At 44.0% G+C, this 14,066-nt stretch overlaps 1 long non-coding RNA gene across 1 annotated transcript in view, besides 2 other annotated features; it reads left to right on the top strand.

Annotated features, from left to right (window-relative positions):
* LOC643339 (uncharacterized) overlaps positions 1-14,066 on the top strand; it is a 373,979-nt gene that overhangs the window by 40,892 nt on the left and 319,021 nt on the right. The window contains exon 2 of the long non-coding RNA NR_040096.1: positions 8,790-8,818. This is a non-coding gene — a long non-coding RNA (uncharacterized LOC643339). The remainder of the gene's footprint in view (positions 1-8,789; positions 8,819-14,066) is intronic.
* Positions 413-912: an enhancer, noted in NCBI's record as "H3K4me1 hESC enhancer chr12:93729709-93730208 (GRCh37/hg19 assembly coordinates)". NCBI's record gives its function as "activates a minimal SCP1, AML or CMV promoter by ChIP-STARR-seq in primed H9 embryonic stem cells {active_cell/tissue: H9 hESC(primed)}" and the evidence as "EXISTENCE:reporter gene assay evidence [ECO:0000049][PMID:30033119]".
* Positions 913-1,414: an enhancer, noted in NCBI's record as "H3K4me1 hESC enhancer chr12:93729207-93729708 (GRCh37/hg19 assembly coordinates)". NCBI's record gives its function as "activates a minimal SCP1, AML or CMV promoter by ChIP-STARR-seq in primed H9 embryonic stem cells {active_cell/tissue: H9 hESC(primed)}" and the evidence as "EXISTENCE:reporter gene assay evidence [ECO:0000049][PMID:30033119]".

The raw sequence follows: 14,066 nt of genomic DNA, 5'->3' as shown, positions 1-14,066 counted from the left end.
ACTTTAGGATGCACAGCAAGTTGGAGGCAGAAATACTCCATTCCTTAGTAATCCACAAGTCAGGGGTGAGTCTTTCCCAGAAAGAGGAAGCCCATCCCCTTTTCTAAATTGGACACCTTCACATGTTCACTATTCCTTCTCAAGAAAGTTGCTCAGTTTTCCTCCCTAGAGAGCTATACCCTAAATAACAATCATTCCAGTTTCTCATTGCCTCATGTACTCTTGAGAAGCCACATACCAGACCCAAGCAGAAATACGGCTTTAATATCTCACTCATGTCCCCCCCGCCCCATGCCCCCAGCCCTGCCTAGCTGGAGGGTCACATTCCATTTTATAAATAGCATCAAAGAGAAGTCACTTTGGGGGTAGAGAGCAGTAGTGGAAGCAGAAGTCGGGGACCTCCAAGCAATGACTAACGCAGCAGACAGGCTTCTCTTTGTCCATTGTTAAAAGATAATGAATAGATCTCCAGCCCCCTCTTACTACCTCTAGAGAAAGAAGATTGAAGCAGCTGCCAGAGAGAGTTCCTTTCAAAAAGTTCCTGACTCTGTCTTGTGCTGCTGCCTTTTGCACTTTCTTTCCTTCTTTCTTTCTTTCTTTTTTTTTTTTTCTTTAGACAGGGTCTCTCTCTGTCTCCCAGGCTGGAGGGCAGTGGCGCCAGCTTGGCTCACTGAAGCCTCGACCTCCTGAGCTCAAGTGATCCTCTTGCCTCAGTATCCTGAGTAGCTGTGATTATGGGCATGTGCCATCATGTCCAGCTAATTTTTTGTATTTTTGGTAGAGATGGGGTTTCATCATGTTGCCTAGGCTGGTCTCAAACTCCTGAGCTCAAGTGATCCACCCACTCAACTTCCCAAAGTGCTGGGACTACAGGCACGAGCCACTGCGCCTTGCCTGACTTTTGCACTTTCACCCACAAGTCATTAAGCCCAGTTACGAATTTTTAGCAAATTGCAACTCCTTACAAATCAGACGCGTTGGCTCTGGTGAGTGTTCTAAGAAATGTGTCAATGCCTTGTGCACTAGAGGACCTCAGATCTAATGCTGGCTCAGATATCAGATAGCCATGTGCAACTGTTGGCTTTATGATCTAGGCTTTGGTTTCCCTGTTTGGAAGATGAGTTTGTTGGGCCTAGATGAGGTCACCAAATGGAGGTCTCCGGCCGTATACTGCCTGAAATCATGTATTTTATCCATATGGTGTTACGGCGGTTTTTTTGTTAGTTTGTTTTTTGTTGTTGTTTGAGACAGGGTCTTGCTCTGTAACCCAGGCTGGAGTGCAGTAGCACGATCTCTGCTCACTGCAACCTCTGCCTCCTGGGCTCAAGTGATCCTCCCACCTCAGCCTCCTGAGTAGCTGGGACTACAGGCGCATGCCACTAAATTGGCTAATTTTTGTATTTTTTTGTAGAGATGAGGTTTTCCCATGTCACTCAGGCTGGTCTCAAACTCCTGAACTCAAACAATCTGCCCACTTCAGCCTCCCGAAGTGCTAGGATTACAGGTGTGAGCCACTGCACCTGGCCATTTTTTGTTTGTTTTTGTTTTTATAAAATTTAAACTAGTGTTCGTCATTTAAAAAAGGACTCAACAATAGTAAAACAATCTAATTTAAAAAATGGCCAACAAGCACATCAAAATATGCTTGACATCACTAATCATTAGAGAAATACAAATCAAAACCACAGTGAGATACTACTGCCTCATACCCACTAGGATGGGTATTATCAAAAGAACAAAAAACAACAAATGCTGGTGAGGATGTGGAAAAATTGGAATGCTGTGTACTGTTAGTATTAATGTGAAATGGTGCAGCTGCTATGGAAAACAGTATGGTGGTTCCTAAAAAAAAGTAAAAATAGAATCACCACATGATCCAACAATTCCACTTCTGGATATACGCCCAAAAGAATTGAAAGCAGGAACTCAAAAGATATATTATTTGTATACTTCGCCAGGCATGGTGGCTCACTTCTGCAATCCTAGCACTTTGGGAGGCTGAGGTGAGTGGATCACCTGAGGTTGGGAGTTTGAGACCAGCCTGACCAACATGGAGAAACCCCGTCTCTACTAAAAATACAAAATTAGCTAGGTGTGGTGGCGCATGCCTATAATCCCAGCTACTTGGGAGACTGAGGCAGGAGAATCGCTTGAACCTGGGAGGCGGAGGTTGCTGTGAGCCAAGATCGTGCCATTGCACTCCATCTTGGGCAATAAGAGTGAAACTCTGTCTCAAAATAAAAAAAAAAGATACATTATTTGTATACTCATGCTGGTAGCAGCATCATTCACATAGCCAAAGGTAGAAGCAACCAAGAGTCTATTGATGGATGAATGGAAAAAAATGTGGACTATATATACAATAAAATATTATTCAGCCTTAAAAAGATGGAGGCTGGGCATGGTGGCTCATGCCTGTAACTCCAGCACTTTGGGAGGCTGAGGCAGGTGGATCAATTGAGGTCAGGAGTTGGAGACCAACCTAGGCAACATGGCAAAACACCGTCTCTACCAAAAATATGAAAATTAGCCAGGAGTGATGGAGCATACCTATGGTCCCAGCTACTTGGGAGGCTGAGGTGGGAGGATTGTCAAAACCCCAGAAGTCGAGGCTGCAGTGAGTTGAGATTGTGCCAGCGCACTCCAGCCTGGGTGACAGAGTGAGACCCTGTCTCAAAAAAAAAAAAAAAAAAGGAAATTCAGACACATGCTACAACATGAATGAGTCTTGAGGACATTACATAGAGTGAAATAAGCCAGTCATAAAAAGACAAATTCTGTATGATTCCACTTCCTTTCTTCTGGAGTGCTGTGATAAGATTATGGCTCACTGCAGCAGCTTTGATGTCCTTTGATATCCTGGCCTCAAGTCATCCTCCTGCCTTAGCCTCCAAAGCAGTTAGGACTATAGGCACATGACACCACACCCAATTTTAATTTATTATTAATATATTTTTTTGTAGAGATGCGGTCTGCTGTGTTGCCCAAGCTGGTCTCAAACCCCTCGGCTCAAGTGGTCCTCCCACCCCGGCCTCTCAAACTGCTAGGATTACAGGCATGAGCCATTGTGCCTGACCTGATTTATTTTTTATGAGGTACCTAGAATAGTTAAAATCAGAAACAGAAAATGGAATGGTGGATGCCAGGGATGGCGGGGAAGAGGGGGAATTATTGTTGCACAGCAATGTGAGTGTATTTAACACTTCTCAGCTGGACACATAAAAATCCTTAGATGGTAAGTTTTTATGTTATGTATATTTTACCACAATTAAAATAAAGAGTGGTAACTCATGAAAACCTGAATAGTCGACTTAAAAAATATATTAAAACAAATCTGGCATATTGGGCCACATGTACCAGTTGGCAACAGCCCACTTGAGCTGAGTATCTGCCCTCTCTAAATGGCTCTATTCTTTGCTCTTCTCCCCAGCCCCCACCTGCCAGTCTTCTTTCTATCAAATAACCTGTGCAGCTACTATAGGCCTTTGAGTTTGCAGTCCCTGGATTCGACTCTCTATGGTTCCTTCTAGCATTCATAGCTATGATTCTGTGACTTCCTGGAACTTTAGTGACTGTGACACTATAAATAAATAAGTGAGGTGAAGACATAGATGTTCTTGAAGGATGTCTAGTTCTCAGTAGGCAGAGACTGGGGGAAGGTTTATTCCAGGCTTGCAGTGGCTCAAGCCTGTAATCCCAGCACTTTGGGAGGCTGAGGTGGGCGGATCCCTTGAGGCCAGGAGTTGGAGACTAGCCTGGCCAACATGGCGAAACCCCATCTCTACTAAAAACACAAAAATTAGCCAGACATGGTGGTGTGCACCTGTGGTCCCAGCTATTTGGGAGGCTGAGGCAGGAGAATCGCTTGAACCTGGGAGGCGGAGGTTGCAGTGAGCCGAAATAGTGCCATTGCACTCCAGCCTGGGAGACAGAGCGAGACTCCCATCTCAAAAAAAAAAAAAAAAAAGATTTATTCCAGGCTCAAGGAAGAACACAGCCAGGCAACAAGGCAGCAAGATTCATGGAGACACAGACATTTTCTGGTTCTGCTATGTCTTGCAGTAACCCTGAATATTGTGCTAGTATGTAAGAATAAAGAGGGTCATTCCTCGGACAGCCACTCAGTATTTCTGCCACCCTCACAATGCCTGGGGACCTTCCTAAGAAAGGGCTACCACAGACTTAGGGAGATTCACTCTGAAAAAATTTTGTATTTTGTAAAGGTTGTTTGGGATTGGGGTGGAACTGTGTGCAGGATGTCAGAATGGAAACTTCTGCACATTACTTGCATCAACTCATGAGCTGTACTTTATATACCTGAAGTTAGGTCTTTGGACTGTATTGATCAAATTTATGGGCTGAGTATGGTGGCTCATGCCTGTAATCCCAGCAATTTGGGAGGCCAAGGCAGGTGGATCACTTGAGCCCAGGAGTTGAAAACCAGTCTGGGCAACAAGGTGAAACCCTATCTCTCCAAAAAATACAAAAATTAGTCAGGTGTGGTGGCTCACACTGTAGTCCCAGCTACTCGGGAGGCTGAGATGGTAGAATCGCTTGAGCAGAGGAGGTCGAGGTTGCAATGAGCTGTGATGGCACCACTGTACTCCAGCCTGGGCGTGCTAGGCTCCGTTTAAAAAAAAAAATTACAAGAACTACTTTATGAATTCATGAAAAATCATATGCAAATAGATATCTTACAATTTGCTAAAATATCTGGTGATCTTAACCTGGAGGGACTGTTTTAAAAGGCTAGGACTCAGGCCGGGCACGGTGGTTCATGCCTGTAATCCCAGCACTTTGGGAGGCCCAGGCAGGCGGCTCACCTGAGGTCAGGAGTTCGAGATGAGCTTGGCCAACATGGTAAAACCCTGTCTCTACTAAAAATACAAAAATTAGCCAGGTGTGGTGGCAGGCGCCTGTAATCCCAGCTACTTGGGAAGTTGAGGAGGAGAATTGCTTGAACCTGGGAGGCAGAGGTTGCAGTGAGCCGAGATTGTGCCCTTGCACTCCAGCCTGGGCAGGAAGAGCGAAACTCCATCTTGAAAATAAATGAATTAATTAATTAAATAAGCTGGGATATGAACACAGGCTTGCTGCTAGCTTCTATGCTATCTATTGCGTCTGAAAATAAATTAGAAACAAAAACAAACCTAGAAAATGATAATCCTTGACAATGATACTAGAGTTAAGAAGTGAGTTGTTTTGGATCTGTACATTCTTCCAGTGTTTATTGAGCACCTATTATAGTGTACCAGGTGCTGGGGAAACAGGTGCACAAGGCAGATGAAGCACCTGCCCTCAGCATGCTCATGTCCTAGTAGATCCACTTCTTTGATTCTAAAGATACTGATCTTCTATTTCAGTGTGTCTCAAACTGTATTAAAGGGTCAGTCTTAAAAATTCAATTAGTCTAAAAATCAATGGCTAGAAAGATGAAATTTAAAAACTCCCAAAGACATACAAAATAGAAACTTCACTTTTCCCTTTCTTTTTCTTTCTTTTTCTTTCTTTCTTTCTTTTTCTTTTTCTTTCTCTCTCCCTTCCTTCCTTTCTTTCTTTCTTTCTCTCTCTCTCTCTCTCTCTCTCTCTCTCTCTCTCTCTCTTTCTTTCTTTCTTTCTTTCTTTCTTTCTTTCTTTCTTTCTTTCTTTCTTTCTTTCTGTCTTTCTTTTTCTACAGGATATTGCTCTGTCACCCAGGCTGGAGTGCAATGGCGTGATCTCAGCTCATTGCAACCTCTGCCTCCCAGGCTCAAGCCATTCTCTCACTTCAGCCTCCTGAGTAGCTGGGACTACAGGTACATGCCATCATACCTGGTTCATTTTTTGTATTTTTGGTAGAGACTATGTTATCCAGGCTGGTCTCGAAATCCTGAGCTCAAGAGATCCTCCCGTCTCAGCCTCCCAAAGTGCTGGAATTATAAGCGTGAGCCACCATGCCTGGCCTAAACCTCATTTTTCAAGTATTATATTCAAATAGACATAAAATTACTTTGTCAATTTTCTATAACTTTCTAAGGCTTACTCTCAATTTTTGTATTTATCTCATTATGATCCTAACAGTTCAACTGGCAACAGCCTGAGACCCATACTTTGGGTAGCTTCCATTTGCTCTTTCTGCCAACTATTTGGACAGTTAGTGCCCATCATACCATATGATCTGAAAGATAAAGATGAATTGGTTCAGCCGTATGATAGACCTTTTTCTGTAAAGAACCAGCTAGTAAATATTTTAGGCTCTGTGGCTCAAATGATTTCTGTCACAACTACTTAACTCTGTCACTGCAGTGAGAAAGCAGTAATAGATGGTACCTAGATGAGTAGGTGTGGCTGAGTGTGGTGATGTTCCAATATAACCTTATTTATAGTTAGTGAATTTGAATTTTACATAATTTTCATGAATTACAAAAATATTATGCCTCTTTTGAGTTTTTCAACCATCTATCAATATTTTAAAAATTCTTTTTTTTTTTTTTTGTGACGGTCTTGCTCTGTCACCCAGGCTGGAGTGCAGTGACGCAATCTTGGCTCACTGCAACCTCCGACCCCCAGGTTCAAGCAATTTTCCTGCCTCAGCCCCCTGAGTAGCTGGGATTACAGGTGTGTGCCACCATGCCCAGCTAATTTTTGTATTTTTAGTAGAGACGGGGTTTTGCCATGTTGGCCAGGCTGGTCTTGAACTCCTGGCCTCAAGCGATCCACCTGCCTTGGCCTCCCAAGCTGCTGGGATTACAGGCGTAAGCCACCATGTCCGGCCATTTTCACTATATCTTTTCTATGTTTAGATATGTTTAGATACACAAATACTTACCATTGTGTTACAATAGCCTAGGTATGCAGTAGACTATTCCTTCTAGGTTTGTATAAATGCACCTATGAGGTTCACACAACAACAAAAACCACCCGGCGACACATTTCTCTGAAGGTATCCCTGTTGTTAAGTAACACATGACTGAATGTGCAATGCCCAGAATAGGTGAGTCCATAGAGAGTAGATTGGTAGTTGCCAGAGGCCAGGAGACATGGAAGGAGAAATGGGAAGTATGTTTTAAGAATGATGAAAATGTTCTGGAATTTGGCCAGGTGCAGTGGCTCACGCCTGTAATCCCAGCACTTTGGGAGTCCAAGGAGGGTGGATCACTTGAGGTCAGGAGTTCAAGACCAGCCTGGCCAATATGGTGAAACCCCATCTCTACTAAAAATACAAAAATTAGCCAGGAGTGCTGGTGCGTGCCTGTAATCCCAGCTACTCCGGAGGCTGAGGCAGGAGAATCGCTTGAACCCAGCGGGTGAAGGTTGCAGTGAGCCGAGATCACGCCATTGCATTCCAACCTGGGCAACAGAGCAAGACTCTGTCTCAAAAAAAAATAAAAAAAGAAAAAAGAAAATATCCTGGAAATTGATAGTGGTGATGGGTGCATAAACCTTTGTATATACTTAAAACCAGTTAGCTGTACACTTTAAAAGGATAAACTTTATGGTTAGGGAATTATGTCTCAATACAACTATTATTTTAAAAAAATGACCAAAGAGTAAAATTTTGCCTGTTAAATTTGACCTGAAAAATTTGATAAATTTTTCCATATAATATAAATACTAACTGCAGCAGAAAGATTATAAAAGGCCACAATTGATATAATTATAGTTGGGCAAAACATTCATTGATGAATCATATCTTTGTAATGAAATGTATGTTCATAAAAATTGATTCAGTGACAGTTACTGCGGCTGAATAAAACCTAAAATGGAAAAAGCTGAAAATGGTTTCATTGTTCTCCATAGAAAATGGACTAAAAATTTAAATTGGCTTAATGGCATTCACACCAAAAATTATTTCTTAACCCAAATTAATTAGTAATGGTGTTATTTTACTTAAAATATTTGTATTATAGATGTTGAGTCAAAACATTGTTAGCCAAAATGGCAGATAAAACACATCATGGCTGGGCTCACTTCTGTAATCCCAGCATTTTGGGAGGCAGAGGCAGGAGGATCGCTTGAGTTTAGGAGTTTGAGATTGGCCTGGGCAATATAGTGAGACCTCATCGCTACAAAAAATTTAAAAAGTAGCTGAGCATGGTGGCACATACCTGTAGTCCCAGCTCCTCAAGAGGCTTGAGGCAAGAGGATCGCCTGAGCTGGGGAGGCAGAGGTTGCAGTGAGCTGAAATCATGCCACTGCACTCCAGCCTGGGCAACAGAATGAGACCCTATTTCAATAAAACAAAACAAAACAAAACAAAAAACAAAAACCCAAACAAACAAACAAAATGCATCATGCACTAGGATTGTAAAATTGCTCTAACATTTAAAAATCATTTTTTGTATTAGTTTGCCAGGCTGCCATAACAAGATACCACAGGCTGCTATAACAATATACCAGAGGCTCGTCAGCTTGAACAACAGAAATTTATTTTCTGATGGTTGTGGAGGCTGGAATGGAAGGTCAAGGTGTCCGTAGGCCTGGTTTCCGCTGAGGCCCCTCTCCTTGGCTTGCCACCATCTGGCTGTGTCCTCACATGGTCTTCCCTTTGTGTCCAGTTTGGGTCCTGATCTCTTCTTATAAGGACAGCAGTAAGGTTGGATTATGACCCACCCTGAAGGATGTCATTTTAACTTGATCAACTGTTTAAAGGCCGTATCTCCAAATAATGTCACACTCTGAAGTACTGGGGTTAGGACTTCAACATATGGATTTTGGGTGACACAATTTAGCCTGTAACATTTGTTTGGTATTGCCGAATTGGAAACCTCAGAATGCATCTAATGTAGTTCCTACCTTCTCTCTTTCAGAAAGAAGAATAAATGGGACATTACACAAGGTATGTTTCTCTGATTTTCCACTTTCTATCCTTAGGACAGAAGAAAGATCTGTATTCAAGATGGAAACAAGTTCCTTCCACATTTGTTATCATGAAGGATGTCTTGTGCTGTGATTGAGAGGCTGCTCATTAAGAATCATGAAAAGCTCGTTTGCATGGTTTAGCAATGATGCAGAATTACTTATAAAAATATGAAGAAAAATAGATAGCATGTTTATAAACCCAAAGCTGGACCACACCCAGACATTGTTTTTAATAGTGCATCATGATTAAGTTCATCTTAGAGCAGTGTCAAGAGTCTTGCTTTAGAAGCTTTAAATATCTCTGAAAGTTAAAAAAAAAAAAAAAAAAAAGCCGGGCGCGGTGGCTCATGCCTGTAATCCCAGTACTTTGGGAGGCCGAGGCAGGTGGATCACAAGGTCAGGAGATTGAGACCATCCTGGGCTAACACGGTGAAACCCCGTCTCTACTAAAATACAAAAAATTAGCCGGGTGTGGTGGCAGGCACCTGTTGTAGTCCCAGCTACTCGGGAGGCTGAGGCAGGAGAATGGCGTGAACCCGGGAGGCGGAGCTTGCAGTGAGCCGAGATAGCGCCACTGCACTCCAGCCTGGGCGACAGAGCGAGACTCCATCTCAAAAACAAACAAACAAACAAACAAACAAAAAATATCTCCGAAAGTTACCCAGGTACCATTTGATAACTAGTATTTGGGCTGAGAGCTAGGAAAGTGAGAAAGGAAAACTTCAGAGGTCATTCGTGCTTGGTCCTTAGAGCCTCTTAGTTTAGCTAGAGAAGTCTAGGGGCCTTCTTAATTTGTTGGGAGAGAAGATGTCACAGGGACATCAATTTTTGATGAAATCCTATAGATTCTTTTTTTTTTTTGAGACGGAGTTTTGCTCTTGTTGCCCAGGCTGGAGTGCAGTGGCACGATCTCAGCTCACTGCAACCTCCGCCTCCCGAGTTGAGGTGATTCTCCTGCCTCAGCCTCCCAGGTAGCTGGGATTACAGGCGCACGCCACTGCACCCAGTTAATTTTTTGTATTTTTAGTAGAGACAGGGTTTCGTCATGTAGGCTAGGCTGGTCTTGAACTCCTGACCTCAGGTCATCCACCCGCCTTGGCCTCCCAAAGTGTAGGGATTACAGGCGTGAGCCACTGAGTCTGGCCAAAATCTTAGAGATTCTTTTGAGACTGTCTTAAAAGTGTCCCATTGGCCGGACGTGGTGGCTCATGCCTGTAATCTCAGCACTTTGGGGGGCCAAGGTGGGCGGATCACCTGAGGTCAGGAGTTCAAGACCGACCTGACCAACATGCAGAAACCCCGCCTCTACTAAAAATACAAAATTAGCTGGGCATGGTGGCACATGCCTATAATCCCAGCTACTAGGGAGGCTGAGGCAGGAGAATCGCTTGAACCTGGGAGGTAGAGGTTGCAGTGAGCCGAGATCGTGCCATTGCACTCCAGCCTGGGCAACGAGAGTGAAACTCCGTCTCAAAAAAAAAAAAAAGTGTCCCATTGTCTGGGTGCGGTGGCTCATGCCTGTAATCCCAGCACTTTGGGAGGCTGAGGCAGGTGGATCACGAAGTTAGGTATTTGAGACCAGCCTGACCAACATGGTAAAATCCTATCTCTACTAAAAATACAAAAATTAGCCAGGCGTGGTGGTGGGCCCCTGTAATCCCAACTACTCGGGAGGCTGAGGCAGGAGAATCGCTTGAACCTGGGAGGTGGAGGTTGCAGTGAGCCGAGATTGTGCCACTGCACTCCAGCCCGGGTGACAGAGTGAGACTCTGTCTCAAAAATAAATAAATAAATAAATAAATAAAGTAATTAATTAAAGGGAGGAATTTGTTCTAGTTAGTTTATGACACATGCTCGGAATTATGTTCTCTTGAGTGTTACTATACCACACACACTCGGAGGAAAGTTCCCGAGACACTTATGAATAGGTGAGTCACGGAGTGAGGTGTAAGTCCAGATGGCTGTCAGGAACTGCCTCTTGGTCAGTGGCTGTAGGAGCTGGGATAGTCATGAGCAGGACCATTCATTCACTGCCAAAGAAGGCTTAAGGGAGCCAGGCCATCTTTTGTGCCCCATAAACCAAGGGGCAAAAGTTCCAAATGAAACTCAGCGTTTGTAGTCTCTTAGCGGGAAGTGGGGTTGATGGCTTCTTTGTACTCTAATTTTTTTTTTTTTTTGAGATGGAGTCTTGCTCTGTCATCCAGACTGTAGTGTAGTGGCATGATCACGGCTCACTGCAGCCTCAAACCCCCAGCATCAAGTGATCCTCCTACCTCAGCCTTCCGAATAGCTGGGACCAGAGGCACACGCCATGATGTCCAGCTAATTTTTAAATTTTTTTGTAGAGAGGGGTCTCCCTATGTTGCCCAGGCTGGTCTCGAATTCCTAGCCTCAAGTGATCCTCCTGCCTCAGCTTCCCAAATTGCTGGGATTACAGGTGTGGGTCACTGCACCCAGCCTGTACTCTAACTTTATTTCTTTCCTGGGATGTTAACAATAATTCCCTGGTCTAGTAGTAGTTGTAAGGACTAGGCATGTATAATAGTGTCCTAAAAATATAAAAATGCATTTACTTGGTCATTACTTTGATAAGTATTTACTGATGGTGTACTGTGAATGGGAATAGGCTGGGCAGGGTGACCCACACCTGTAATCCCAGAGTTCTTTGAGGCCAAGGCAGGAGGACCACTTGAGACCAGGAGTTTGAGACCTGTCTGAGGAACATAGTGAGACTTTGTCTCTACACAAAAATAAAAAAATTAGCCGAGTGTGGTGGTACGTACCTGTAGTTCTAGCTACTTAGGTGGCTAAGGCAGGAAGATCCCTTGAGCATGGGAGTTCAAGCCTGCAGTGAGTTATGATTATGCCACTGTACTCCAGCCTGGGTGACAGAGCAAGGTCTTGCCTCTTAAAAGAGAGAGAGAGAAAAAAAGGGATAAAAATATGGCTGGCACATGGTTCCTACCCATGTCAGGTGGGACGGATATGCCTAGTATTAATTACAGCAATGTAGGAATGCTAAAATAGGATGCTGCAGAACCTACAGAAGAAAAACCCCTAATCTTGGCCAGGCACAGTGGCTCACGCCTGTAATCCCAGCACTTTGGGAGGCTGAGGTGGGTGGATCATGAGGTCAGGAGTTTGAGACCAGTCTGGCCAACATGGTGAAACCCCGTCTGTACTAAAAATACAAAAATTAGCCGGGCGTGGTGGCGGGCGCCTGTAATCCCAGCTATTCAGGAGGCTGAGGCAGGAGAACAGTGTGAACCCAGGAGGCGGAGGTTGCAGTGAGCTAAGATCATGCCACTGCACTCCAGCCTGGGCAGTAGAGCAAGACTGTCTCGGAAAATAAAAAAAAAAATTAAGAAAAACCCCTAATCTTGCTTATAGAAATCAGATGGAATCTTGCTCTGTTGTCCAGGCTGGAGAGCAGTGGCATGATCTCGACTCACTGCAACCTCCACCTCCCAGGTTCAAGTGATTCTCCTGCATCAGCCTCTAGAGTAGCTGTGACTGCAGGCATGCACCACCACGCCTGGCTAATTTTGTATTTTTAGTAGAGTTGGGGTTTCACAATATTGGCCAGGCTGCTCTCAAACTCTCGACCTCAGGTGATCCACCTGCCTCAGCCTCCCAAAATGCTGGGATTACAGGCGTGAGCCACCATGCCTGGCCCAAGCTGAGTCTTAAAGGACGAATAAAAGAGACCACACAGGGCTGGGCAAAGAAATTCTAGGCAGAGGAAATTGCAAGCACAAAGGAGTGGAGACTACCAGCAGCATGTGGCTTTGGGGAAACCATAAATGGCTGTTTTCTTGAACTCGGGCTGTTTGGGAGGCATGAAGTAAGACAAGGATGAAAGAGTAGGCAAATCGTGAAGGGTGTGTATGTATATTATGGTGAGTGTTCAAGCAGTCACAGGGAGGTTATGGGGATTGGAAAGGAATGTTTAAAAATAGCTGGAGGTGAGGTGGAAATTAAAGGGTGGGATTTAGTAAGAAATGTTAAGGGGCTGAATAAGGCAGTGTGGTAAGCAAGGAGCAAAAACGACAGATTTGAGAGTTACTTGAGAGGTAGAATTGATAGCACTTCACTGGTTAGATTGACTGGGGGTCATGAGAGAAACGGTGGTGTCAAGGATGCTACCCTAGTTTCTGGTGAGGCCTCTTGGTTGTGCTGTGACTCATGTCTCACAGACCTTATAATAGGAGGTTGGATCACCCTGGCACAATCTCCAACACAGTTTGATTAACAAAGTGCTAAAAAGAACTAAACCATTACAACAAGAATAGCAGGCTACTGAGTTTCCAGCAAATGAGAGAATTAGAACATCCCTTATAGATCCATAACTCATCAATTTCACTATGCATGAGCTGAAGATAGGCAATTCTCCACTAGATGAGGAGTCTATGAATTTCAAGGGAGACAATTTAAGCCTAAAACTTAAAACAAATTTGATCCAACTTCTTTTTTTTTTTGACAGAGTCTCGCTCTGTCGCCAGGCTGGAAAGCAGAGGCACGATCTCTGCTCACTGCAACCTCCACCTCCCGGGCCAAGCAATTCTCCTGCCTCAGCCTCCCAAGTAGCTGGGACTACAGGCACACACCACCATGCCCGGCTAATTTTTGTATTTTTAGTAGAGATGGGGTTTCACCATGTTGGCCAGGATGGTCTCGATCTCCTGACATGGTGATTCGCCTGCCTCAGTCTCCCAAAGTGCTGGGATTACAGGCGTGAGCCACGGTGCCTGGCCAATAAATTTGATCCAACTTCTATACTCCATGCATATAATCAATTGTCCCTCTGTGTAATGAGCATAGTATGGATTTACATAACGTCCTAGAAATAAATGTGGTAGTTCCATTGGGATAATGTGATAAGACCGATTTTCCTGGAGTGCCCTACCTTCCTTATTTGTTCTGCCCAATAAATTCCTGTGTGTGATTCAAGGCCTAGTTCACATCCTGCCTTCAGGAACCTGCCCCATATGATGTCAGCCTGCATTTAGCTCCCTTGCCCTGACTTCCTCTGCAGCAATTTGGGGTTTATTATAGGCTGCCTTAAATATCTCATTTTCATTTTCTCTGAGTCCCCAGGACTTATCTTATTTACCTGTTGTGGTTCTCTTGAAATTTCAAGTTTCTAGCCTCTACCTTTCTCTCTCTCTCTCTCTATTTTTTTTTTTTTTTTTTTTTTTCAGAGACAGAGCCTATCTCTGTTGCCC

This window comes from Homo sapiens, chromosome 12 (genome assembly GCF_000001405.40).
Source record: "Homo sapiens chromosome 12, GRCh38.p14 Primary Assembly".
In the NCBI taxonomy this organism is placed as follows: domain Eukaryota; kingdom Metazoa; phylum Chordata; class Mammalia; order Primates; family Hominidae; genus Homo; species Homo sapiens.
This window is presented reverse-complemented; position numbering and strand designations above follow the sequence as displayed.